At 35.1% G+C, this 25,837-nt stretch overlaps 1 long non-coding RNA gene across 2 annotated transcripts; it reads right to left on the bottom strand.

Annotated features, from left to right (window-relative positions):
- Positions 1–261: 261 nt before the first annotated feature.
- Positions 262–13,671, bottom strand: LOC102723846 (uncharacterized). Of its 2 annotated transcripts, XR_427508.4 has the most exons (4): positions 11,623–11,720; positions 8,601–8,737; positions 7,951–8,156; positions 262–869 (listed from the first exon to the last, which is right to left on the bottom strand). It is a non-coding gene; the product is annotated as an uncharacterized LOC102723846 (long non-coding RNA). The 2 variants fall into 2 exon arrangements; XR_007058442.1 differs by lacking the exons at positions 262–869; positions 7,951–8,156 and having other exon boundaries at positions 8,215–8,737; positions 11,623–13,671.
- Between the last annotated feature and the right edge of the window lie 12,166 nt (positions 13,672–25,837).

Raw genomic sequence — 25,837 nt, 5'->3', positions numbered from 1 at the left:
CCCTCCAAGTTGACCCATAAAATGAACCATCACACCAGTTTTTATCTTTCTGAAGTATTAAGAAGAGCTTTTACAATCATACCTTCAGTTTTAGCCTCATACCATATTTTTCTGGCAGTTCCCTGGATTCGGTACTTTGAAGCTGTTTCTTAATTTAGCACCTAATTTTAGCATTTTTTTTAAAAAAAAAACAGCATCAGGTTCTAGCTTCTTTTTTTTGCTAGTAAGTAGATCACACAGATCATTAAATACACTTTCCTCTTTCCACATAAACGCAGATGACAATGTTTATTACAGTTCTTCAACTACATAACAACAATGGCCTTTCTTTCAGTTTTAATGTTTTCTCCACTCATCCACAAGCTCCTCAAACCCATAAAGTCTATGAATAGTGTGTTCGATGCACTTTAAGCTTTCATAATCACTCTCCTCAATGGCTACTACCTGGTTCCAACAACACTTCTGCAATTAAGTTAGGCAAACACTCCAACTCTAGGCACCAAAATCTTTCTTAGTTATCTATTACTAAATAAAAGATACCCTAATCTTACTGGTTTAAAACACACACACACACACACACACACACACGCAGAGTAACTCACAATTTCTACATTTGATCTTAGCCAAAAGGCTAAGAAGTGATGCCTCCTCAGTTTCTATGGGCAGGAATCTAGGTGCAGCTCAGCTGGATGGTTCTATCTCTGGTCTCTCAATCATCACAATTTAGCGAATCATCTCAAATCTCCACTGGGGTAGATTCTACTTCTAAGCTCCACCAATGAACTGTTGGCAGACCTCAGGTCATTGCTGGATGTTTTTCGTCCTTTTGGCTTCTGAGTAGGGCAGCTTACAGAATGGCAGGTGGATTGCTGGAAAGTGAATGAGCAAGAGAATGCTGAAAATCGAAGCCACAGTTTCTTTGTGATCTATCCTCAAAATTGACATCCCATCTTTGCTGCCAAATTGTCTTCAGGAAAAGCCAGTCAATAAGGCCAGCCTACACACACAATACAAGGGTGGGGACCTTTGGGAAGCATTTTACAGCCTGCCTGGTACACATAACCACACACTTACTGCTCACTTTTAAGCCACAAACAGGGTTTTCAAAAAGTCGATCTGTATTTTCTATCTCCTCTTCCACGCCTGCCAGTCATTCAACCTGTTTTGTCTTCTGATTTTGTTATTTCACTGAAAATGCTTGCAGTGTGATCACAATAGCCCTCTTATTGCCAAATACAGTGGGCCTTTCTTCAGACTGCCTTTTAGCAAAAAGATTAATCTTATCAATATTCTTCCAACCACATGAATTGCATGACATGACTCTAATTTCAGTTGCCTTTTAGATGCTGTTTCTTCTAGCTTCCTTTATTGTCCCTTCTAACTTCTGTTTGCATGTTGATGTCCCCAGGATCCATTGCCTTTCTCTATGTGTTTTCCTCAAGAAAAAATTATTTTATTCCATGGCTATCTCTTCTGAAATTTCTTAAATTTATATTTCCCTTCTGTGATCTTCATTGACATTCATATTTATACTTCTAATTTCTACACCAATCTTGTGATGTGTCTACTCAACTGTGATATAAACATCTCAAATTTAATTTGTTCAAAATCATGCACATGCACTCAGGCTTCTTAGGGATTGTGTTAAAATACAGATGTTAATCTAATAGAACATAGGGGAGTCTGAAACTACACACTTCTAAATATCCACCAGGTGATGCCAAGGCTTCTGGTCATCAGAATGCTCTCTGAGAAGCAAGAATCTAAATTACACTCCTCAATACGTGGTTCACCTTTTGTACTGGATCATGTAGAGAGATGACCATTTGCCCATATACCCAAGTTAATATATGGGATATCACACCAGAGTTGTTTTTTTCTCTTACTCCTTCTCTACCTTGTTGCAAAATTATGCACATCTAACTTCTACATAGTTGTCTAATGGTCTAATGGTTTCAGACCATTTCTACAATGGTCTCTGATTTTCATTCATAGCTATCAAAACTTTATCTGGATTATTACTGAAGAGTTGTAATCAATCTACTTGCCTTCCTCAAATACATTCTCCATATTACTGCAGGAGTAATTTCCCTATATAATATAAAGCTTGCTATGTGACTCTTCTTTGCTTGCAAGATACATTTTAAAGTCGGACTTTGTATATAAGATATTTCATGACCTAACTTTGCCTACCTCTGAAGTCCCTGTTTTCAGAAATTTATTTCCTGTAATTATTCTTAATTTTTAGGCTTTTTTTCCCTCAAGGGTTCACTTACTAGAGATAAATCTCCTGAAAAGTAACTGTCAGTTCTACAGGGTCAAGTGCTTTAATAATATTAGTCTTTTAATCACATGTTCATCTTTCCCATGCACACACAAAAATATTTATTTAATGAATACCTGTGAAATTAAACAGGATAAGGCATAATGTTTTTACTATTTATAATCAAATATTAAGTCTTCAGCATGTATTAATTATGGAAATAGATATTTTTATTCTCTTTCTAATGCTTTTGCTTTGGTTGTATCATGAGTGTCATTCCTTTTTTTACTTTAGGGATATATTATGTTATGGTGTCTAATTGTTTGGCCACCTGCTGCAACAGTGGCTCACATTATAAAGATATTTGGTCATTAGTCCATACAGTTATTTCACGCATGAGAATTATCATTTTTAATTTGGCACCAGTGAACTAACGCCCAGCATGTGTTCAAAACTACCACCTCCAAAGAGCAATAAAGAGAGTTGAGTAAGTTGATTAAGACAATAAAACTATTAAAATGACTTCAGGGCTAACAAAAATGCTTATATCAACTCATACTGTTTATAATTGCTAGTATTTTTTTTCTATTTTTTCTTAATGACAATAATACAAGCTACTAATTCAGGATGTAAATTTAAATGTACATAAAATAATAATGTAGTTCATAAATTAAAAAAATCACCCATTGAAACTTTAATTATCAAAATATTTCAATGTAAAATGCGCCATGATAAGATACTGAGCTAAATATATTCAAGTAACAGGCATTCAGTCTTCATATAAGAATACTGAGAGTATTAGGAAGGAAAATGTAAATGAAATGAAAATGTAATTGGAGAAAAAAAAGATGTGTTATAAAGGGACAATTTTGCCTCTTTGCTTCAACTCCAGTTCTCTAAAACTACACTGTCTTTTGATAGCACTCAAGTATAAAGTGGAATAGGAGTTTTGAGGTAAATCAAATACTTCTAGCTATATAAACAGTTAAACTATTCATTGCAAGAGGAAAATGGCATTTCTTATTAACATTGTGCATAAAAGTTAATAAAGTTTTCATTGACTATTGTTTATTAGTTACATTTGCAAATTTCACTTCTTAGCTTGTTATTTTTATATTTGATAAAGGAAATGTTAATATAGCATAGTTTTTAAACTTAAAAAATTAACTATAAAATTACATGAAATATTTGCTCCATATTTAATCCAAATATATTAGGAGTTCATCAATATTTATTTTTCACCAGGTAAAGTGAAATAATTTTATAATCAATAAAACAGTATCAAAACAGAAATTAAAAGAAGCAACTAATATATGTTTTATGGAAATTTTTCAGTCAAAAAACAAAGCACAATAATTTTATTAAATAAATAAATGACAGTTTGCAAGGAATGAGCGCTAGAATAATTTGCTTTGCTTTATTTGGTGTTCATTCTAGAGCATGGTTCACAGCAGTGACTATAAATTAGAATTACCTTGGAAGTACTTTATATCCATGAATACCAATCAAATAAGAATTGGTGATGGTGAGAACCAGACATCCATAGTCTTAAAGAATAATCAGATGTTTATCTGAGCAGCCACCAAGGATAATTTCCTACATAGGCTCTTTCCTTGCCATGATCCTATAATGCTTATATAAACAAATTATATGCAAGCTTATATTTATGCAAAAATAAGGTGAAATAAATAATTTTAAATGACTTTAATTTTTTTAAATTTTTTGTTTTCCAATTTGTCAAAATTTATTTTGGCATTTATTTTTTTTAAAAGAATGGTAAATCATATATATTCCATGTTTCAGCCCCACTTTATATAATTTGAACATTTTGTTGTTTTCAGCAGTAGAACAGTCCCAGGATGATTACATAAATGATACGACCAATTCTTAATAAAACCAGACATTCTGACTTTCACATTAAAAATTTTCAGACATTCCTGAAGTTCTAAGAAGTCTTTGAAGTGTCTGAGGCTCTGAGTGATAGACCTGTCAACTCACAGAAATGTCAGCTTAACGGGAGAAAAATGGCTTCCATGCACACAGGTGAGTTGAAATGAAGATTTTGTTTCTTTTAGTTATTTAAAGTTCCAGTTTCTCCTAGGTTACTGAGAGTGAATCTAGCCGAGCCTTGGTGAATTCAAAGGCCACACTCAGAAGAGGCCACAGTTTCTGCTGGAATTACAGCTAAAAACATAAAATACAGCAATGTAAAGCTTTCCTTTTGAGAACAGGATGGTGGGAAATATTTCTACTTTATAAATGTAGCATAGTTTGGAAGCAGGTGCACAATATTTAGGCTATTTCTCATTCAGATTTTTTTTATTGTTTTTAGTTATGTACAGTGCTCAATTTCTGCAATTAAGGATTACTTCAAATAGGGATTTAGATTTATTGTGAACATTTCATTTCCACAAATATAATAGTTCATGTTTGCCTAAGCATGTTTCATAATTGAGATGAAAAGCATTTTTAAATCTCATAACTAGAATCAACAAGCAAACATAACTGAAATATAAAACATATGATTTAAAAAGAGAATAAGAAAATGAATTCATCTTTTAAAAGATAGAAAGCGTGCCCTATGTTGTAGTAAGTTATGGTTCCCTAATGGAATAAATAAAAAGCAGTCATTGTCCTAAACATTTTTATAGTTTACTTGGAAAAGAAAGATAAATAAGTAGATCTAGGACATAACATACTAACAGATGGTAGAGAATTAGAATATGTATTGCTGTTCAGAGTAATTTTTGATAAGTTTTAAATATTTGTGTAGTCATTTTACATGATTAGTTTCAATAAGTTTTTGTGTACATATTTGCAATTATTTGTCTATCAAAGGACTGGCAACAAAGAAAAGAATGACACAGCCATGCTGATATGTTTTTTAAATTTGTGGTAGTTAATAATACGTATGTTCTCAGCACTGAAAATAGAGCAGATTGTAGTAGGCTACAAAAATAAGCGCAAGTACTATACAGCAATCTTAGAACATATGTAAAATAAGTCAAGTAGTTCATAGCATGATTGTTGATGCTATGATAGAAATATAAATTTTATTCAGGTAAAGTATCTCATATTTCATTAGTAATCTAAAATATTTGAACAGATTTGTTTTTAGTGTTTTAGCTTACCAACCTGACATTGTTACCTATCCCATCTCCTAGACAAGAACAAGCCAAAAATATGAAGTTGGCTTATTTTTGAATAAGTAAATACCAAATGTGTTAATCTGGCTCCATAATTCTCTTTTCTAACAAGTTAGTATGATCCACGAAATTACTGTAATGAAGTCGAAAGGTCAGGTTTTTTTGTTCTGTTTTGTTTTGTTTTTTACCATATGCTGAAAGTCCTTTGGGTTGAAGATGGTATGTTTAGCTTTGCTTGAAGGCCACAGTAACTTGTTCATTTAGTGGGCCTTCATATTTGACAATTCAAACAGGGTCCTTCTCAAGTTTTGGTTGCATACATGTGGCTGAAGAAATCCAATTATATCCAGCCACTGGAGTAAGAAAAGCATTAGATCCATGAACCTGAAGAGCAGAGCAAGTTTTTCCCCAACACTCATATTTATGTTTCTTGCTACAAAAATTAAATCTCTCAAAGATAAAAATTATTATTCCTAGTTATGGACATATTGCTAAAAGCTTCCAGGCAGATGGTGGGGAAAAATGAAGGTGATGAATTACATATTTGGAGGATAACAAATATTACAATTTGTAGTCTAGATTGTCTCATTACACATTCAAATGTCTATTTGGCCTTTGAAAATCTCTGACTGCAAAGTTATTGACATAAATATCCTCAATTTATGTAAATACTGGCCTACTAATTTTGCACAGCTTTATTATTGGTCTTGCCTCTATTCTTGAGATTGGTACAGCACAATCTTTCTTAACTACCACCACCCCTCAATCATTTGAAGTCTTTGTATGTATTATCAAGCTCTGTGAAGTTATAAGCAAACCTAAGTTTAATGTTATAAAAAAAATCACAAAATTTTTATTTTTAAGAGTACATTATTTGCAATTTTGAGACCGATCGAAAGGTTTTTATAAAACTATTAGTGTTTACACCTCCTAATTTGGAAATAAACAATATATTTTAAATAATTTTATGTAGATTTATTCACTCAAAAATATTTATTGAGAAAGTGTTATATGACACTGTCTTTACGATTAAAGTTATAAATTGCTAGTGTAATAGGTGTCTCGAGAAACACATTATTATTCTAGAGAAATATATCATCAAAAACTCTCCATGGACCATCTGCTTCAGAATCTTCTGATAGGATAATTTAAAAATATGTTTTCTGAGTCCCAGCTGAGATCACACAAATGCAATTATCTGTCTATGAATCCTGATAATATGCATTTTAGCAAATTCCTGAGGTACTTTATTGAAAAAAGAACAAAAGTTTTGTTTTGGTTCTAAATCTGTGTGGTTTTGGACATTAGAACCTTATTAGCCTAGTTCTATAGTAAAATTTGAGATGCTGAACCAATAGAAGAAATAGAGTAATGGTGTAATGGCCAGTCCCTGGCCGTGTTTAAAGGTTCATTTATACACTTCTATCTCAGTCTCCACAGACAAAATACCAACCCTAGCACCCTAGCATTTGATCATATTTTCTTCCTGGAGAATTATTTCCAATAGAAGGAATCTAGACTTTACTCAGATTTCTTTTGCGATTATTAATGGATGTACATTTTGCAGATGAGTGAATTTACTCCTAACAATCAAGCCCAGATTGATCCATTTATAGTTAATTACAAAACCTTAAGTAGAATAATGGTTAATTATTTCATTGTATTTTGTTTGTATACTCTAACAATTAAAAAATTGGCAGCTATTAGATATTTGCTAAAAGTTAATATTAATCCAAACAAGTTAATTAATTAAAATTAATATTAATGCAAACAAGTTATTTTTCTATAGTTGTAGGAGAAATTGAAAGTTATATGGGTTTTTCTGTTCCTCAATGAGGTGAAATGACATTTTAAAGGACAGGGATAAAAGTATCCCAATATAATGTTCTTAACATAGAGTTAGGTAAAATGAACGATGTGCGCTCTAAATATTCACCGGACAACTAGCATTTTCTAAGCAATTTTCCAGCTTGAAGAAAACTACTTTTCATTAAAATTGTGGCTCATGAGAAAAGTGTAGTCAGGGAATAAAGTGTGTGTGCATGTGTGTAGATGTGTGTATGTGTGTGTGTGTGTTTGGAGAGAGAGAAAGAATATGCTTTTTGAAAACTGTAAACAATTTAACACAGCAATGTATTGTGTTAGACATTAAAGGCCAATAAATGCTATTAGAATATGGTGTTTTGAGGCATATTTCTTTAGAGGTAAGGGGTTCAGAATCAAGACAAATACACATTTATTTTTACTGAAAACTAAATTTGTTTTAAAGTCGTTGAGTAATGTAATTAAAGTCATTCAATTCAATCATTTAGAGTCTTCACCGATACACCAAGAAAGATGAGAAGAGGAAAGCAACTCATAAAGATCATCTAAATATCATTTACAGATTGATTGTAATCAATTACCAATGTCTTCAGGGACTTCATGCTCATATACTTGTGGACTCTGCTGGAGTATGGCTGCTAAATGGTACACTAACGCAAATACAGCATTTATGTGCTTTGTAACATAATCCATCAACTGCCAACATCCATAACTCACCTGACAAATACCTAGGTATTTATTAATTTCAGGTTCTTCTTAATTTTTCTGTTCATTATTCTATCGCTATGCCTATGGATGTATTCATACAAGTCATAGTGTAGCAGGAGAAACTGTTAAAGCAATTTCTTTCCAAAATAACTATCTTTTGCAACAATGAATTCAGTCCAAAAAAGAATTTCTTGACAAAGCATTTTCTTCTTCATCTGGAGAAGAGTTAAAGAAAATAAAGAACAGGATCAAAAGAAAATTATATTAATACTGTTTGAATATTTATTGACCTTTATTATTGGTTTGATAGTTGTGTATAATTATTTCCTACTTTACAATTTCTATACTTTGAAGCCACACCAATTAAACATTTTACAGGTCCATGCCTTAAAAACATTATTGTGTAGAAAAGTTAATTTCCCAATGAATGCAAAGAAAAGCAAACTTTCTCAGACAGTTTTGCAAAGCTAAGAGCTTTATGAGCCCGACATATACAAATAATTATAATAATAATTGCAATGGTAATAAAGATAGATAACACTTATTCAGCTGTTGTAGATATATAAATTTTATATTTAAAAACTAAATTCCAAGATAGATACTATTATCATACCTTTTACATAACATAAACTAAGGCACAGAGAAGTGAAGGTACTTACACAAAGTCACACAGCCAGTAATTTAAAGATTTAACACACAGCCAGTAATTTGTAAGATTATAATTCAAAACCAAGCTGTCCGGCTCCTGCATAAGGTTTCAAATGTTGGATCAATTGCAAGTTGTCAGAAAGGAGCTCTGGGAAAAAATAAAATAAAATACAGTAAAATTAAACTTAAAAGTTCTAAGACTTATTTAGTTCTTGGTAAAGAGCAAAAACTTGGAATTTCTTTGAGGTTTAGGGCAAAAATGACACAGCGATTTATCATGAAAAATCAGGATTTATCAGCTGGCAAATTGATTAGGTTCTCTTTTAATTTAAAAAAAAAAACAAAAATGTAAACATTTGAGTTACTAAAGGGTTTATTACTCAGTAATTAGGCTCTTTGACTTCCTGAGATCAATACCAATATTTAGAACCCTCCATTTGATTGGTACCATGAAGTGCTTTTTTGCTTAGAAATAATGATGCTAGGAATGGTGGCAGAAAAGCAGTCATAAAAGAAGAAGTGGGAAAGAAGCAGCCAATGTCATGAGTTTGTTTGGGAAGATAAAATGAAAGAAAGAGTAGTTGAGGAAGTTAAGGATCTGGAAATTTATTTTATTAAAGCTATTCTTGCTTCCATATTTACCGTTTGGAAAGTCTTCATAAAACCCTTTCAGGTAGAGAGAGTACAAACAAGTAGTCCAATATGAAAAGTATTCAATGAAAGTTCCACTTTCATGTGGCTTCTCTGTATATGCTAAAAGAAGTCTGTAATCCTGGTAGCCAGAAAAGATCATATGTAATTGCATCTTTGTTGTTATTTTCCCCACATTTACCATGCAAATATATTTTTGGTTTACAGCTTTCCTAATGTTATGATATAAAAATATTCTGCAGCTTCTGCTACCCTTTCTTGCTAGCCAGACCAAAGTCATCACAGCAGTTAATTTTTTGCAAGTATTTATGTTCATAAGATCACCTTTTCCCATTTTTATAAGGCTTTGTAACAAGCTCAATAAACAGTAAAAGGATGTATGTACTCCTACATGGGCTTTTCAGCTCTGGAGTTAGTCGGCCTCAATTTTTGCCCAGTCTTCACCACTTACTAAGATGTGATACCTTGTCATCCCTCTGTGCCAAGGTTTACTCATTTGAATAATGGAAACAACCAGAAATATTCGTCTTTTAGGGTTGCTGTGATTATAAAGTAAATTATCATGTGTAGAGCAATTGGCTTGGTGCCAGGCACATAGTAAGTGGTCAGTAAAAAGTTAAGAAGCATTGTTATAATTTAGCTACATGGTATAGCTGGGCAGTTAATTTTCTTCTTCAATTTATAATATCTTATTAAGGATACCATTTATAGAGTACAAATTAACTTCTAGCCACTTGGCTGAGTTTTACATACACCATTTTATTTTAACATCTTAAAAATATTCTAAGGTATATATTATAATGAATTATTTTTACAAAAGAGGCTAAGAAAAATTAAATCATTTGGCTAAATGTACACGTCTAGAAATATGATTAAAATCCAACCCTGTCTGATTGTCCCCATTTTAAATACTTAAATAATTCTTATTTCTTTTAACAGATCCTCTACAGAAGAATGGCATTAAAAGCAAAACCAATAAAAAGCCATCTATCTTTGCATGGAACAACTCTAGTGCTTTCACCTAGCAGATTTACTGGCCAGATTCCTCCTCAGGACTGAGGCTCTCATTCCTCCACTGACTACAAAATGTGACTGCTGATAACTCACAGCTGAATCCCACTTCAATACAGAGGAAAATGCTTTAGTCATGGTTAAGTTCTTCAGTCCTCATTCAAATGCCTGGTCAATGGAGAGATACAAAATCTGGCTCTCCTTATTCCAATTTGGATATCACTGAAGGACCAGCCCAGGTCCAGTATTATCATGTGATCTGCTGGGTGCTTGTTGTAACCAAGTTGCAGCTTAATTTCTTGTTTTTTCCATTTCGGCTTCCCTCAATCTTTACAGTTATGATATCTCCAGTTCTCCCTCACAAACTACCTGCCCTCAAATATATGTCTCAGAATCTGTTTTTTGAAGAGCCGAAGTTCTGATAGGTCTCCTGCTGTTTCTTAGCAGTATATGTTAAAGCCTATGAAAGAAAATATATGTTGCAGAAATTTCCAATACACTAATTCTGTGATGATTTATTGGAAATAAGCTAGTTTTTTAAAAGATATTTCTACTTCAAGTAAGTTTTAATAATTCTGAATTCAATAATAATTAGATATTATATGATAGGATTTTAAAAAACATTTTTCCTCTGTAAAATCAGTTAATTAATATCTGTTAATAGCTTTGGAAAAATGAAAAAAAAAGCTCATCTCTTCCTAAAGTTTTTACTATATTTCCACGCTCATTTTATAAGTATGAAAAAATTAGAGCTAAAACACCCTGTTTACAAAATGTACTCTGGCATAACTTTAGTAGACGTAACATTGGTTGCTGTTGAAATGAAAAAGACCATATAAAAATTGCAATTTCTCTAATATTTTAGAAAACAGTATTTTATCATCACGATTTAGCCTTTTGAAATAATTTGATACAAACTCTGCATTTTATAGATTTAAAAACCGAAGCTTAGTTCAAACAACAATTTCATGACAGAAAATGTATAAACATATTTATATGAATTTTTAAAAATCAGTGATAAATTCTGCTCTCTTATAAATACTATTTATCATCTGTAGAGAGAAAAATCTAATAGTTTAGGTGATGTAAAAGGGAAACTGTGCCCAAAATATATAAGAAATTTTTATAAATCAAGAAAAAGTTTCCAAAAATAGAATATGAACAGAAGAAAGAATCTAAATGTCCATTAAATAAACTAAAATACTTTAATTCCAGGCCATTTGCGGTGGTTCACACCTGTAGTCCCAGCACTTTGGGAGGCCAAGGTAGGCGGATCACTTGAGGTCAAGAGTTCGCTACCAGCCTGGCCAAAATGGTGAAACCCCGTCTCTACTAAAAATACAAAAATTAGTTGGGCATCATGTCACTTACCTGTAACCCCAGCTACTCAGGAGGCTGAGATGACAGGGCCGCTTGAACCCAGGAGGTGGAGGTTGCAGTAAGCCAAGATCGTACCACTACACTCCAGCCTGGATGACAGAGTGAAAAAAAAAATTAATTCCTTTTGATAATCAGAGAAAATATATTAAAATAATTATATGGTGGTATCACATTAGCATATATTAAAATTAAATTCAATTGAAGTAAAAAATATCAGAACATGCTACCTTAAAATATGTCACCTTAATATATAAATTATTTTGAGCTGAAGGTAACTGAGAATCAAAAGATAGAGAAAAAAACCTCTGGGACCTTCCTTGTCTTACTAAAAGCAGAAACTTCTAGGAAATGAGGACTGCCACAAATCCTGTCTACAAGGAGGTGCGTGACCATGAGAAGACAGGAAGCTAGTACTGGAATTAGTCTGCACAAAGAAAGATTATTAAAATAATCCTTTTCTTTAATTGGTTTCCACATATATTGACCTTCCCACAATTTACTAACCTCAGAAGTTCAAACTTCCCTTTCTTTTCTCTAGTCAATTCTCCACAGTTTATCACTTTTTGTTAAAATGGTATATATGTTTCTGAGTCAAATACTTCTGTAGGTTTTTTCTTCTTTTGGTGATACTCTCATATACATAAAAATATTAATAAAATACATAAGACTTTTTTTTTTTGAGATGGAGTCTTGCTCTGTCACCCAGCTGGAGTGTAGTGGCATGATCTCGGCTCACTGCAACATCCACCTGCTGGGTTCAAGCGATTCTCCTGCCTCAGCCTCCAAAGTAGCTGGGACTACAGGCACGCGCCACCACAGCCAGCTGGTTTTTGTATTTTTAGTTGAGACCGGGTTTCACCATGTTGGCCAGGATGGCCTTGATCTCTTGATCTCATGATCCACCCACCTCAGCCTCCCAAAGTGCTAGGATGACAGGTGTGAGCCACATAAGACTTTTATGCTATTAATTTACCTTTTATTAATTTATCGGTACAAGCCCGGCAACTGAACCTCAGAATGTAGTAAAAAAGACATTTTTTTTTCTCCTCTGCACTCCTATTGTGTCTGACAAAGTTCTAAGAGCTTTATCCTCATTGTTTCTTTTTCTGAAAATGTACAGCAAACTAAGGAATGAGTATCTTCTTCATAAACATGAGCAATCTAAAACTCAGGGCAGTTAAGAAATGTAAAAGAAAAACAAAGGTAAAATTTAAAACAAGATTCAATATTATTGAACTTCAAAGTCTATAAATCTTCATTAGGACATATACACAGCCGACTTTTGAAAATCACAAATTTGGATTGCATGAGTCCATTTATATGTTTTTTTAAAAATAAATATTTTGAAAATTGTTTTAGAGTTTTGCAACAATTTAAAAAACTCACAAACCATGTAGTTTAAAAATACTGAAAAAAATCAGAAAAAGGTATGACAGGAATGTATAAAACATACGTAGATACTACTGTTTTTGTATCATTATCATAAAATATGCACACACATTTTAAAAAGTTAAAATTTATCAAAACTCACACACACAAATACTTACAAACTGTCTATCAGGCCACTCACATTTGAAAGAAATGTAAGCAAATGTAAAGATGCAGTATTACATCATAACTGCATCAGATTCACTGTAGTACATACTGTACTTCTCTAATAACTTTGTAGCCACCTCCTGTTGCTATTACAATGAGCTCAAATGTTGAGAGTATCTGCTTAAAACATCTTGTGATACTCATCATCTCTGCATGACCATTTTGTCTCTCCAGTAATTTGCCTGCCATAGTAAAAAGTGATTTCTCATGGTTATTGTGTATTTTTAGCCATGTTTAGAGTAATATTATCAACCTTGAATAACATCATGAGACCCATAAAAAGTGTTGCTAGTAATGTAGAAGCGAAGTCATGACATAACAAGCAAAAGTTGAATTGCCTGAGATGTATTGCAGATTGATATCTGCAGCTGGGATAGCACACCATTTCAAGATAAATGAATCCAGCATAAGGAGTATTGTAAAAAAAAAAAAAAAAAAGAAAAGAAAAGAAAATTTCTGAAGCCATCACTGCAGCTATATACCCCAGGCATAAAAACCTTGCACTTTTAATAAAATACCTTTTTATCTCATATTGGAAATGCAGCTTTTACATGGGGGCAATATTGCTACAAGAAAGACATACCTATAGACTCTAATATGAGTTTTTAAAAATTTGAAGTCATTATATTATAAGATAAAACAAAAGGAAAATGAGAATCTAATGTGAAGAATTTAGAGTCAGCAAAGGATAGTTTAATACTTTTACAAAGGTGTTTGGTTTTTAAAAAATGTCAAGATAACAGAAGAAGCAGCTTATGCTGACCAAAAAAACAACAGATGGATTTCCAGATGCCGTTAAGAAAATCACTGAAGAGAAAATATTTGCTTGAACAGGTTTTTAATGAAGTAAGTGCTCTATTCTATAAAAAAAAAAGCCACAAAGATCATTAATTTGTAAGGAAGAGAAGTGAGCACCAGGATTTAAAGCAGAAAGGAATAGGCTAAGTCTACTGTTTTGTGCAAATGTTGGTGAGTTTATGATTAGGGCAGCTCTTATTTGTAGAGCTGCTAACCCCCAAGCCTTGAAGGAAAGTGATAAATGCCAATTGCCAATCTTTTGTTTGTACATGTTTCTCGGACAATGAGAATACATTTTCCAGATTGGCTCCACTGATGCTTTCTTACTGAATTCAGAACCTACCTTGTCAGCAAAGAACTGTCTTTTAAAATTGCTTCTAATATTGGACAATGACCCTGGTCACTCACAACTTCATGAGTTCAAAACTGAAGGCATCAAAGTGATCTTGCCACGAAAGACAATGTCTATAATTCAGCCTCTAAATTGGGGTGTCATAAAGACCTTTAAGGATTACTCTATGAAAAGGATTGTCAATGATACAAAAGAGAACTCCAATAGAGAGAACATGTTGAAAGTCTGGAGGGTTACACCATTGAAGATGTCATTGTTGTTATAGAAAAGGCCAAGTTTTTCAAGGACCAACTGTGTTTGTATGTGTTGGCTGAATTAGAAGATACAACTTTGTGAAAAAGAAAACTTTGAGCCTATTTCTTCTTAATTCACAAAGATAGAGACTATGCTATAATTATCTTTGTATCTCTAGTACCTACCATAGCAAAAACAACAAAGCTAAAAATTTGATTACATCCAGCACTAAAAGGCTGGTGTCATATTTTTATATCTACAATTTGTAATATTTTGATAACACATTCTAAATTGTGGAATATTTTTATGTCTAAATTTTGTAATATTTTGAGAACACATTCTAAATTACTACCTGGTTCACTGTGAATGGCTTAACCTGGTTAAATGTTTGGCTTGCAGAACACATACATAGAAAACTGGAATCATGCTCTCCATGATAGTAATTATGAAAAATGTATATGACAACTATTAATATATCAATGTACAAGGTACATTTCTTCACAGTATATTTTGACATATCACTATTTTTACCCCAAATAGTTATAAAGCAGAACAAATCAATGTTCTATAGTAGTTTTGATGCAAGATGGACACAGATCTGTCTTTCAATGAAGCCTCCATCTTAGCTTTGGTGAAAACTGCTACATGAAAACCAGAGGCATAGAAAGGAGCATTCAGATGAGAAGAAACCAAATCAGCAAAATACCAGGAAGCTCCAGGTGAACATTCTTTGTGCCAGAAGCTAATTATATGTGGTGAAGAAAACAAATTTCTGTAATACCTATCCCCAAATTTGAAAAAAATTAAATAAATTGAATCTTGGCTGTCAAAAAAAATACTCAATAATAGGTAAATATTCAAAGCAACACCTAGGTCAAGAGATATAATGAATTTTCAACAATCCCAAAGACATCTATATATATTAAAAATTATAATACAAATAAGGAGGCCGGGTGCAGTGGCTCACGCCTGTAATCCCAGCACTTTGGGAGGCCAAGGTGGGTGGATCATGAGGTCAGGCATTAGAGACCAGCCTGGCCTACATGGCGAAACCCTGTCTCTACTAAAAATACAAAAATTAGACAGGTGTGGTGGTGGGCACCTGTAGTTAGTCCCAGCTGCTCGGGAGGCTGAGGCAGGAGAATCACTTGAACCCAAGAGGTGGAGGTTTCAGTGAGCCAATATCATGCCACTGCAACACAGCCTGGGCAACACAGCAAGACTCCATCTCAAAAAAAAAAATAAATAAATAAGGGTTAACCCAATTTACTGTCACATTCTTGTTCAGTAAGAATGCCTTCTCTCTTATTTGTGTACCTAACACTTGCTGATAATTATAAGTTTATTATGATAAGTTCATTTAGTCAAGATTCCTTATGGAAGCTGATTTCATAATCAGAGTAATTAGTTTAAGGAGATTTTAGTAAAATAATTTTTTTAATGTGGGCAAGATTTAAGAAAACCAACAGGGAATAGTTCAGTATAGCAGGGTTAGCAAAAGAGAAGCTGTTACCAAACATGGGAAAGGCAAAAGCAAAGGAGCTATTGGAGAGAGACATAGCCCACAGCAACCCAGGAGAGATGAAGTATATATTTCTGAAAATTACTTTGGGCAAAGAACCAAAATAATACAAACCAGTGCTGGTATGGATACTACTTTCATCGTGGTAAACAGCAGCAGGCCACTTTTGGGAAAGCTTGAGGGAAGATTCACAATGTACATCAGCTGCCATGTTGTAAGATCTGTTCTCAGAAAGACCCGGTATGCCCAAGGTTAGGTCAATCCAAAGCTATGAAGTGGTTAATGCCTAGAAACTTAGTATGAGGCCATTTATCCTCACAACAGTGAGTTGAGTTAGGTGTCTACCTGCTTAATGTGGATATAGTTTTGCTGTTATATGTCAAGCAGCATATTAGTAGCTGATGTTCTATTTTGTTTCTAGCAATATTGTGATAAATTACCCAACACCACAGATACTTGTGTGCACAAATTCTGACCACCATTTTTTGTGTATGGCTTATTGTAATAATTCCTTCTACCTTATCTCTGGTAGTTAAGTCCTGTCACCCACCTCTACTACTTTATTATCCTCATGCCCAGTGAGATCAGAAAATTCAACTTTATTATAGCATCCCACAGTAATCTCTGGCTCACAGAAGACAGCTACCATTGAGCATTTCAAGGATGTTTACAAACCCTCTCATCAAAGCATTTCTTAGTATAATATCTTCCAGTTGTTATCATCTGACTCCTTCAGTTGGTATGAAAAGGCAATGCCTTAACAGATTTTACATGACACATTTCTGGCATTTTTGACTCGTAGACTATAGGCTATTACATTTACCAGGCTTTAGTTAGTTAATTGAACAGATCACTGATGCCACACCCAGGTTCACAAGATAGTACATTCATCTTGAATTTGAGGATTATGAAGCCATGTCAATAGATTTTACCCAATACAACATTACAGTTTATCCTCCTGGACTTTATACCCTGGAACACACTCACATAGATGCTTCTGCAGCCTGAGTGATAGAAATTGGGAATCTTTCACAATTTTTTGGCCCATGTCCTCCAAGAGTAGGCCACATAATTGTAAGATGCATGCCATAGATTATCAGTATTTTCTGGCAAGGAAGCTATATACACATTCCTCAAACATATGAGCGATCCAATCCCAGAATTCCATTTCGAAGGTCTGTTTCCTAGGGTCACTCCTGGGTACCAATTGTTGTATCACTTGTTATCTTAGCAGGAAGCAGTTAGACTGGGTAATTCTAGACAAGTTTAATAAAAGAAATATTGTAATATTCAGAGTTTATGAAAATCAAAAGGAAACGTACAGTATTCCAGTACTAATATGGTGGTTTTCAGATTAAAAAGATAGTCATCCTTAATCCCTGCAGTTCTAGGTGTACCTATTGCTCCTTTCATTGAGAGGCCATATATTTTTCCTCCTCTTCATTTCCAGCTGCCTTATGACTTGTTTTGACCAGGAAGAAAATGTCGTTAAAGTGACGCTGAGTCATTTTTGAGACCAGCTCTAAAGAGGCCTGACTGCTTCTGCTTTCACTCTCTTGGATCCCCGAGCCAATATGTAAGAAGCCTGGCTACCCTCCTTGAGGTAGAGAACCATTCAGGTCTCAGTATTTTCTGACACCCAAGCTAAAACTTCCAGCTGGATCCTGCTGCATGTGCTATCCTAGCCAACACAATGTGAAACAAAGATAAATGGCCCCCCAAGTCCCTGATACAATTAAAGAATCACAAAAAAAGTGAATATTTGTTGTTGAGTTACACAATTTGGGAGCTATTTGCTATGTGGATAACTGAAATAGCTAGTAACAGTGAATCACTGTATCACTCTCAGATCTGAAGTATATGTATTGTATATACCTTTCCAGGATGAGCACAAATTCCAGCTTCTCTTTGAAATTTCATGCAGAAGTAGCCTATGAAACCTCTGGATTTCAGCCAGGCACAGTGATTCACGCCTACAACGCCAGCACTTTGGGAGGCTGAGGGGGGTGGATGACTTGAGGTCAGGAGTTTGAGACCAACCTGGCCAACATGGCAAAACACCATCTCTACTAAAAATACAAAAATTAGCTGGGAGCGGTGGCACACACCTGTCATCCCAGCTACTTGAGTGGCTGAGGCAGAAAAATCACTTGAACCCAGGAGGTAGAGGTTGCAGTGAACTGAGATTTAAAAAAAAAAAAAAGAAACCTCTGGTTTTCTAAATCACTTATTGACAAAATAAGGACTGTATCCTTTATAACCAACATCTTAATTATAATTATTTTAATTATTTTTTCTCCCCAATTATGTTGTTGATCTATGCTATGGGAAATCATTTTCATTTGACTCTCGATATAACCTTGAAAACATTTCCATGAATTAGAGTAGGAATTAACACAGAAAAGACTTTGTGTAAAAATACATGACAAAGATGTTCATCAACAGTGGTCAAAATATTGAATTAGACATGAGATTAAATTTTCTTAACAGAATAGTAATTTTAAAAATTCAGTGCATTTATATATTCACTGGCCATTAACAAAGAGTAACTACTACATTCATAAAAATCAATAACTTTTATTTCTACTATTCAATAATTGCTATCTTTTATCCCTAAAGACTAATATGCTTGTGATATATATATATATATATGCATATATATATATATATGCATATATATATATATATATATATATATATATATATATATATATTCAGTATCAGAATTTGCATCTAAAACACTTACACAGAATTTATAGGTTTTTCCGAATCATTATTGGCCATCAATTATATATGTCACATTGTAATGAATACAGTTTTCAGACATAGTGATTTTCATCATTAGTATGATAGTACCTTTAATCTATGATGAATGAATATCCTGTTAGGAAGCATGAAATTAGTAATTGCTAAAATTTGAAAAGTACTTCCTATATACCCTGTGCTTTCCTAAGAGATTTTCACATTAACTCATTTAACCCTCACAGCAGTCCTATGAGTAATATTATTATGATCCCCATTTTACTAGTGAGGACACTAAGGTACAGAGAGATTATGTGAAATTTCTACATGTTAATTGGCTGCAAAACCAATAGGATGGAGTATTATTTTTTATAAGGTCCCAGCAGCTATGTGGACACACCTTGATATGTGAAGTTTATCATTCCATTTTCTTTTAACTATTATCTTTTGGAGTTACTGTAAAGGTAAGTTATCAAAGAAGCTCAGTGGTTTTTCTCCCTTCTTTTATTTTTGGGTTTTCTGTATCATTTCTTCTGTTCCATCTGAGAACATGCTATCTGTTTACATAGTGTGTAGAAACACATAGCTCAGGCCTCTTAAAATTTTTCACAGATAGCTTAGTCAACTTGCATTTGATACATTTGATATGCACTATTTGTTTGTAACACTGGCAAGAATATTTTATTTATATTATTATTATTATTATTTGAGATGGAGTCTCGCTCTGTCGCCCAGGCTGGAGTGCAGTGGCACCATCTCGGCTCACTGCAAGCTCCACCAACCGGTTTCACGCCATTCTCCTGCCTCAGCCTCCCGAGTAGCTGGGACTACAGGCACCCACCACCACGCCCGGCTAATTTCTTTTTGTATTTTTAGTAGAGACGGGGTTTCACCATGTTAGCCAGGATGGCTACGATTTCCTGACCTCGTGATCCGCCCGCCTCGGCCTCCCAAAGTGCTGGGATTACAGGCATGAGCCACCGGGCCAGCCTGGCAAGAATATTAAACCAGTTCACACTTCGTTATGATTGAGATAGTAATGATGGGAGTGATGGCCCGTCTGGAGTGGCCACTGCCACGACACCAGCTGCAGTGGGGAGGCATGGCAAGGGCCACACACTACACAGAGCTGGTGGGAACTGGGAACCGGCAGAAGCCCCACCCCCTTCCAAGTTGGAGGAGCGGGAGCCTCACCCTCCTAGGCACAGCTGTAGCTGCCCAGCAGTGGCAGTGGACCAGGGCATCTCTGTACTCTTGGGGACCCAGGAAGCACCTCTGCCCCCTCAGGTTCAAAAGTGCCTGCTCCCGTTGCCTGGCCTCTCCCTGCTTCTGACGACCCCACCGATTTTGGAGCAAAGTTGTGGCTGAGCCCAGGTGCTGTCACAATCTGGCTTGGTGTGCACGCATTCGAGGCAGTGCTGACAAGCCAGCCCCTGCCACCTCAGCCCCCTCTGGACATTGAACCCTGACGAGCACAGGACGGAGGCTGAAGGGGGCTGTGAATGGCTTGGTGTGAGCCTGCAGACACCCCTCGGCACAAACAGCCTGGGTGCCATGGGCACCATGGACGGCAGGTTAATGTTGGCAGGAAGCAGACAGGCTCCTGGGAAGAAAGGGATAGGTCCTCAGTGAAACCCCACCTTCAGGCCAGGGACGGCCTGAGACCTGGGGGCTGGGCTGCCAGTTCCATGGACTGGAGTTAGAAATTATGGTGCTCTTTCTAGGCCCACCCATGGCTGCCCATGGACCAATCAGCATGTACTTCCTCCCCTCTGAAGCCCTTGAAAACATCATAGTCAGCCAGACTCAGGCAAATGAAGGGATGAAATGCTTACAGAGAGGAAATATGTATTGTGGGTCTCCGCTCCACTGAGAGCTGGACACTTGGGGATGACCTACCTGTGGAGAGGAGTGATCCACTTTGGGTCTCCTCTGAGCTGTTCTTTTGCTCGACATAAAGCACCTCTTTGCCTTGCTCACCCTCCTCTTGTTCAGGTACCTCATTTCTCCTGGATGCAGGACAAGAACTCTAGGCCTGCTGAATGGCAGGACTGAAAGAGCGATAACACAAACAGGGCTGAGACATACCCCTTGCTTGCCACATTATGGGCCATGAGAAGGAGAAAAGAGTGAAGGAGAGAAGAGCTGCAGCTCTTCTGGGAGCCCAGATGTAGGAGCTCCCCAGGCCAAGTCTGTGACACACTCTTTGGGGCTTTGTGGTTCCTGGCATCTCCAAGCTTTCGGGTGCCACTGCATTTCCCAATGCCAGCTGTGGAAGCTGCTTGCAGTATGCCTGGTCCAGCTACAGCCTCTCAGAGAGCCAGCACCTGTGCCGGCACCTGGAGCTGCCAGCCCCACCACAACTGGCGTGCTTTGCTGTATGACCTGGTTGTGCCGCACGCTCACTCGCTCACACACCCCTTGCCGCTCTGCACCTGGTTGCCGCTCCGCTCCTGGCTTATCCTTGGCAGGTATGGGATCTAGACTGGTAGAGCAAGCCAAGTGCAGCCTGTCAGGCCACGTGAGCAGAAGGAGCCCAGCAAGCCTGAGCAAAACTCAGGCAAATGTGCCACTGGTCACAGAGGTTTCCAGCCAGAAAAGCAACACCCCAAGATCCTGTGACAGTAAGTTAGGCTAAAGAGAATCATGATTCGTAAATATCACAGTCTTCAAGCAGAGTTACAAACTAAAAAGCTAAGTGTTTACCTGGGGAAGAAATTGTGGAGGTGAGCCATGCTTCCACTTAAAATCTGTAGACCATATATGGCTGTCCCTACTCTCATTAAAGAGCAATACATGGAGCTATTTATAAATTAATTTTTCTATGCATTTTGAATTAAAATAATATTCCACGTAAAATATTCCAGTAACATTAAATAAATTTAAAATGTTCTATTTATCTTTCAGAAATAAATGTTACTTTTCTGCTGCGAATGTGTTCATGGAATCACGGTGCAGGTATTGCTTTGTATTACCTGTAATTCTGGTAGGTAGCATTTGTTACTTCCTCACAAAGATACAAAGAGAAAACTGATTTTAGTGCATTAAAAATACTGTGCTCCATGTAAATCAACCTTGTACACATTAAATAAATATAATGATGTTTTTGCCAGGTAGGTAATTGTCACCCAGTAGAGTTAACACACTTCGTTCAAATGAATGGAGAAGATAAATAAGTCTAACTGTGATAGACTGAAATAATTTCCATTTAGAGGCAAGGATGTCAATGAATAGTAACAAATATTTTTTGTCCTTGAATATATCGAAAAAGGTTTTAAAACTGTGTCCAAATTTGTTATATATTTTATATATACATAGAATGCTTTTCATGAACTCTTGATTGGCTCTTGTTCCCAAATCACTCTGACACTCCCACTGTGCGCTCACGGAATGGTGCCTATAGGACGCATTTGAAGGAGCAATTTCAGGCATATTTTGTCCTTAGGGAGGTAGGCAATCCAATCCCACATCATATTAATTGTTCTTCAAATTCAGTTCCATTGAACAAACCACACATCTGCCTGGCCTCCCAATTTCTTTATGACTAAAATCCTCACTGTGTATTTGAATAAAGTAACAGACTTTATTTAAATATCCATTAAATGAATTCCCACCCATGGCTAGGTGATATGCTAGAGAAAACATACTACTGTTATGACTGCAAAAATCAGTATAAAAAGCCTACATTAATTCTTATGTAATGGGTCTTATCTTTCACTCAAATAAATGTATAAAAAATTCTCTATACTCATAACAGCACTTTGGCCAGAAAAGACTTAAACAATGAAATTGGGCAACAGAACCAACTGCTGAGAAACTGATGAGTACTTAAATACAGCAAACATAAAATATATAAAGAAAATGAATCTGCATGCATTAGTGTAACAAGTGAAAACAGTATAGAAATGTAACAAGGTGGATAAAGTATAAACCATAGATTAACCTTCTTATTGGTTGTGTGTCCTTGTACTAGTCTACTATGCTCTCTAAAAATTGTTTTTTCTTTTTCCAAAATGTGAGAAATAATGCTTACAGGATTTTATATAATTGTAGAAATAATAGCCATCTTTAAGCAAATCTATATCAAATCCTATATAGGGTAAGCATTCAATAAATTATGAATAGTCATTACTATTTTTACTAATTTTACTATTATTACTAATAATACTGTTCACTATTGCAGATAACTTTAGCAATATTTAATTTTAAAAACTCTATATTTTAGTTAATTCATTTTATAGATATTTATTAAATACCTACAATATGATGGGCACCATTTTAAGTCTTGAGTTATCCAATAGACTTGGTCTCAATATCATGAAGCTTTATATATTTGTACAGGTAACCATAATTAATTAGTAATAAAATAAATAAAAAGTAAATAAATAGAAAATATTAGAAACCAGTAAGAGTGACAGCAGGTACTTAACTTGTGTGGTTAGGAAAAGCCTTCACAGGAAGCAGAAATGTGAGTTAAGGTTTGCATGATGAAAAAGATCAGCTTAAGTAAATCTCCTGACACTGGGTATATAATTCACCCAAGACATTATCTAACATTTCTCATCTTGTAGAGATTTAAATATTTTAAATACATAATGGACTTAGAGTTATTGATTATTAGCAGTGATATGTAGTGCATGGACCCTCATTAATGATATGGCTTACTTGTAATATGCAATTCATTACTTCATTCCTACTTCATGCTTCAATATATATGAAGCAGTTTTCAAACATTTTAATTTACATATTGAATGTGTTGCCTGTCATGAAGGCAAGCAGCATAGTGGCTAGGAATTTCAGGGCTATATCTGACTTCCTCGGTTCTCTTTCACAAACAACCCTATAACTTGTACAAATTATTTTATATGTTTAAACATTTATAGTGTCATTAAAAATCTAATAATAGTATACATCTTTCACAAACAACCCTATAACTTGTACAAATTATTTTATATGTTTAAACATTTATACTGTCATTAAAATTCTAATAATACTATACATGTCATGGAATTTTTAATACTATATGAAATGATATTCATAACCTAACCTCAGCATCTGGCATATGCCAATGATTTGGTTTTAAGTAATACGATTTAACAAGATAAGAGAAAGGAGCTAGACCACTCTTTTTTTTGTTTTTGTTTTTTTTCAGTGTGAGAGACACTATGATAAAGGCACATGCCCAGGGTGGATTGAAAACACATAGAAAAACCTTTACCTCTTGTTGAAAGGGGGTCAAAGGACAACTATCAGAGAAGATTTTACATGTCAATGAATGAGTGTTCTCTAAATGACTTACATTCATGGTTTTCAGAAGTCTATTGCAGATCTGATGCCACTTGTGAGAGTAAACTGTGAGGCTTGTCCAAGGACCTTTTCTGCTCAGATTAGTCATGTATGTGCTGTTTGAATCTATTTGACATTACAAGTTGGGGATGAATAATAAAATATAAACATTATGTGTAGTTATCTCTAATGTTTCCTTCTTTTTTTTTTTTTTGAGACAGAGTTTCACTCTTGAGTGCAGTGGTGTGATCTTGGCTTACTGGAACCTCTGCCTCCCAGGTTCAAGTGATTCTCCTGCCTCAGCCTTCCGAGTAGCTGGGATTACAGGTGTGTGCCACCATGCCCAGCTAATTTTTGCATTTTTTTTTTTTCGTAGTAGAGAAGGGGTTTAACCATATTGGCCAGGCTTGTCTCAAACTCCTGACCTCAGGTGATCTGCCCGCCTTGGCCTCCCAAATGCTGGGATTACAGGCATTAGCCACTGTGCCCGGCCTCCTGGTTCTAGAAAAATAAAAATAAAAAAATCTTAATTCCTATCATTTATAAATATAAGTTCAGGCCACACATTGAAAGACTAAATCTTTAAGAAGAGGGAATTTAAAAATACATCTGTATTTAGTACTTTGAACAAAACTGTTAAGTTGTGCCTTGGAATGAATAATCAAAATCCAGATGAAAGCCTACTGAGTATCGTCTTGAATCAAATAAGGCATCTAGAGAATAGACACAGTGTGCCCATCTTGTAGAGACAAGATTAGAGGAATGAGGTCTTATTTAGATAAGACATGATATGCCATTTTTATATTTAGCTAAAGTAGTCTATGTCAAGTAAATCATCATTCTACTTCTAGAACTAATCCTCAATTAATGGGAATATCTCTAATTATTAAATGTGTGTGTCCTTACAGCTTTAAATTTTGAAACCTGTTCTCAGCCTAAGCAATGGCATTCCAGTGCACTTGTTAAGACAGTCTCCAAGTTCAACCTCCTCCCCGTTTCTTCTAATTTTGTACCCCAGTTGCTGTATGTCTGCCTTATAGAATAGTTTGAATGCATTGGGCTCTTATTAGGTAACCTACCTCCTTTGTTGCGTGAATAACTTATCTGAGAACCTCACTGTGAACAAATCTGTGCTGTCAAACTAAATACCAGTAATGGCTGATTCACAAATCACTTCTTCTTGAATGAAATTCTGGATCTTACATTTAACTTGGACCATTGTCTAATGGTTCTATGCACTGGAACACCACGTCTTTCCTATCATTTTTTCGGACTGGGCTGACAGTTCATTCTTCAAACTACATTGAATCTCAAAGTATTTATCTCATCATTAGAATAACTGTCCCAGAGTTTATTTTTAGAGAACTCAATAATCTCTTTGGGTTGGGGAAACATACACAAACCAGCCACAATGAAATCTCATAATTACAAAGCATATTATTTGATTTATACCACAATAATCGTATTTCAACTCACATTTTCATATGAAGGGAAAATTTAAATCTATGTTTCACATTCTCCAAGTGACGTTCTGGTTCATTTTAATTTCAGCCACTGAGTTGATAGGGCTCAAAGGAAAACAAAATGGATTTATCCATCACTGAACACAATTAATCGTATATTGGCCTCTTTAGGAATGAAGTTAGATAAAATGACTTAATCACAATTTTTCAGAG

Source organism: Homo sapiens, chromosome 4, assembly GCF_000001405.40.
Source record: "Homo sapiens chromosome 4, GRCh38.p14 Primary Assembly".
Classification (NCBI taxonomy): Eukaryota; Metazoa; Chordata; class Mammalia; order Primates; family Hominidae; genus Homo; species Homo sapiens.
This window is presented reverse-complemented; position numbering and strand designations above follow the sequence as displayed.